Source organism: Homo sapiens, chromosome Y (assembly GCF_000001405.40).
Source record: "Homo sapiens chromosome Y, GRCh38.p14 Primary Assembly".
Lineage (NCBI taxonomy): Eukaryota > Metazoa > Chordata > Mammalia > Primates > Hominidae > Homo > Homo sapiens.
This window is the reverse complement of record NC_000024.10, coordinates 16,137,800-16,138,856: the sequence shown is the minus strand read 5'-3', so window position 1 is coordinate 16,138,856 and position 1,057 is coordinate 16,137,800. Positions and strand designations below refer to the sequence as shown.

General features: G+C 32.4%; 1 non-coding gene across 1 annotated transcript; it reads left to right on the top strand.

Moving 5' to 3' along the window:
* Nucleotides 1-477: 477 nt before the first annotated feature.
* On the top strand, nucleotides 478-609 carry LOC124900508 (small nucleolar RNA SNORA20). The gene has a single exon (XR_007068486.1). It is a non-coding gene; the product is annotated as a small nucleolar RNA SNORA20 (small nucleolar RNA).
* Nucleotides 610-1,057: the final 448 nt, after the last annotated feature.

The following is a 1,057-nucleotide window of genomic DNA, read 5'->3' as shown; positions in this document are numbered from 1 at the left end:
CTTTTTAAAATCATAGCAAAGGAAAAAATATATATACATTTTAGTGATCATAGAAATTTTTCTGGTAATCTCACCTAGAAAGTCAGCATAAAGCCTACTCCTTCATTTGTCCACTGAATTTATACACCATTGCAATCACTTTAGGATTAAAGTGGATCTATTGTGTTTAGCTGAAACAGGAACAGAAAACAGTCTTCTGAAGATGAATGCAAAGATCAGAACTTATCCAGAAGTGTGCCAAGGATTCCAGAAGTTGTAGTAATGAAGACGGTAAGGTGAATACAGAGGGATTAAATATTGATGGGTTAAATAAGAGTGATTATTACTAGAACTAGGAAACATGTGAGAGACATGCAATTACAAAACAGTGGATAAAAGAAAGATTTTTTTATCAAATAGTGCCAGGATACTAGGGAAAAAAAAAATTCACACCTTAAAAATTCACTTCCAGAGAGATCTTAATAATTGATCTTGTGCCTTCCCATTTATTTGCTGGTATAATGATACAATGATATGAGCAGTTATACTCTTTGGAAAAAATAATATTGGGCCATTGTAAATTGACATGAAGTAAGTATTTTCATATCATCTGCAATGGACTAGATGTTGCTTTTGGGAGAAAAAGAAAAGCAAGTAAAAAGATATATCTTGTGTAAAATAAAACCTTAAAATATTAAAAAAAGAATGTAGAATATATTGATGACATCAAATTAAATGAATTTACATATATATATATATAATTTTTTTTTTAAGACACAGGGTCTGGCTGTGTTGCCCAGAGTGGAGTACAGTAGCACAGTCATGACTCCCTGCAGCCTCCACCTCTTGGGCTCAAGTGAGCCTCCCATCTCAGCCTCCCCATAGCTGGGACTACAGACATGAGCCACTGTACCCAGCCAAATATTTATTAAATAAAGAATAAAAATAAATATAAAATAAGTAAAGACAATGATTAAGTTTTCACATTAAAACTTTAAATGCTCTTAACAGTTGTTATATGCATAAAAATTTAGGCTTCTATATGTCCCAGATTGCTGAGAAATACTAGTGTATCCTG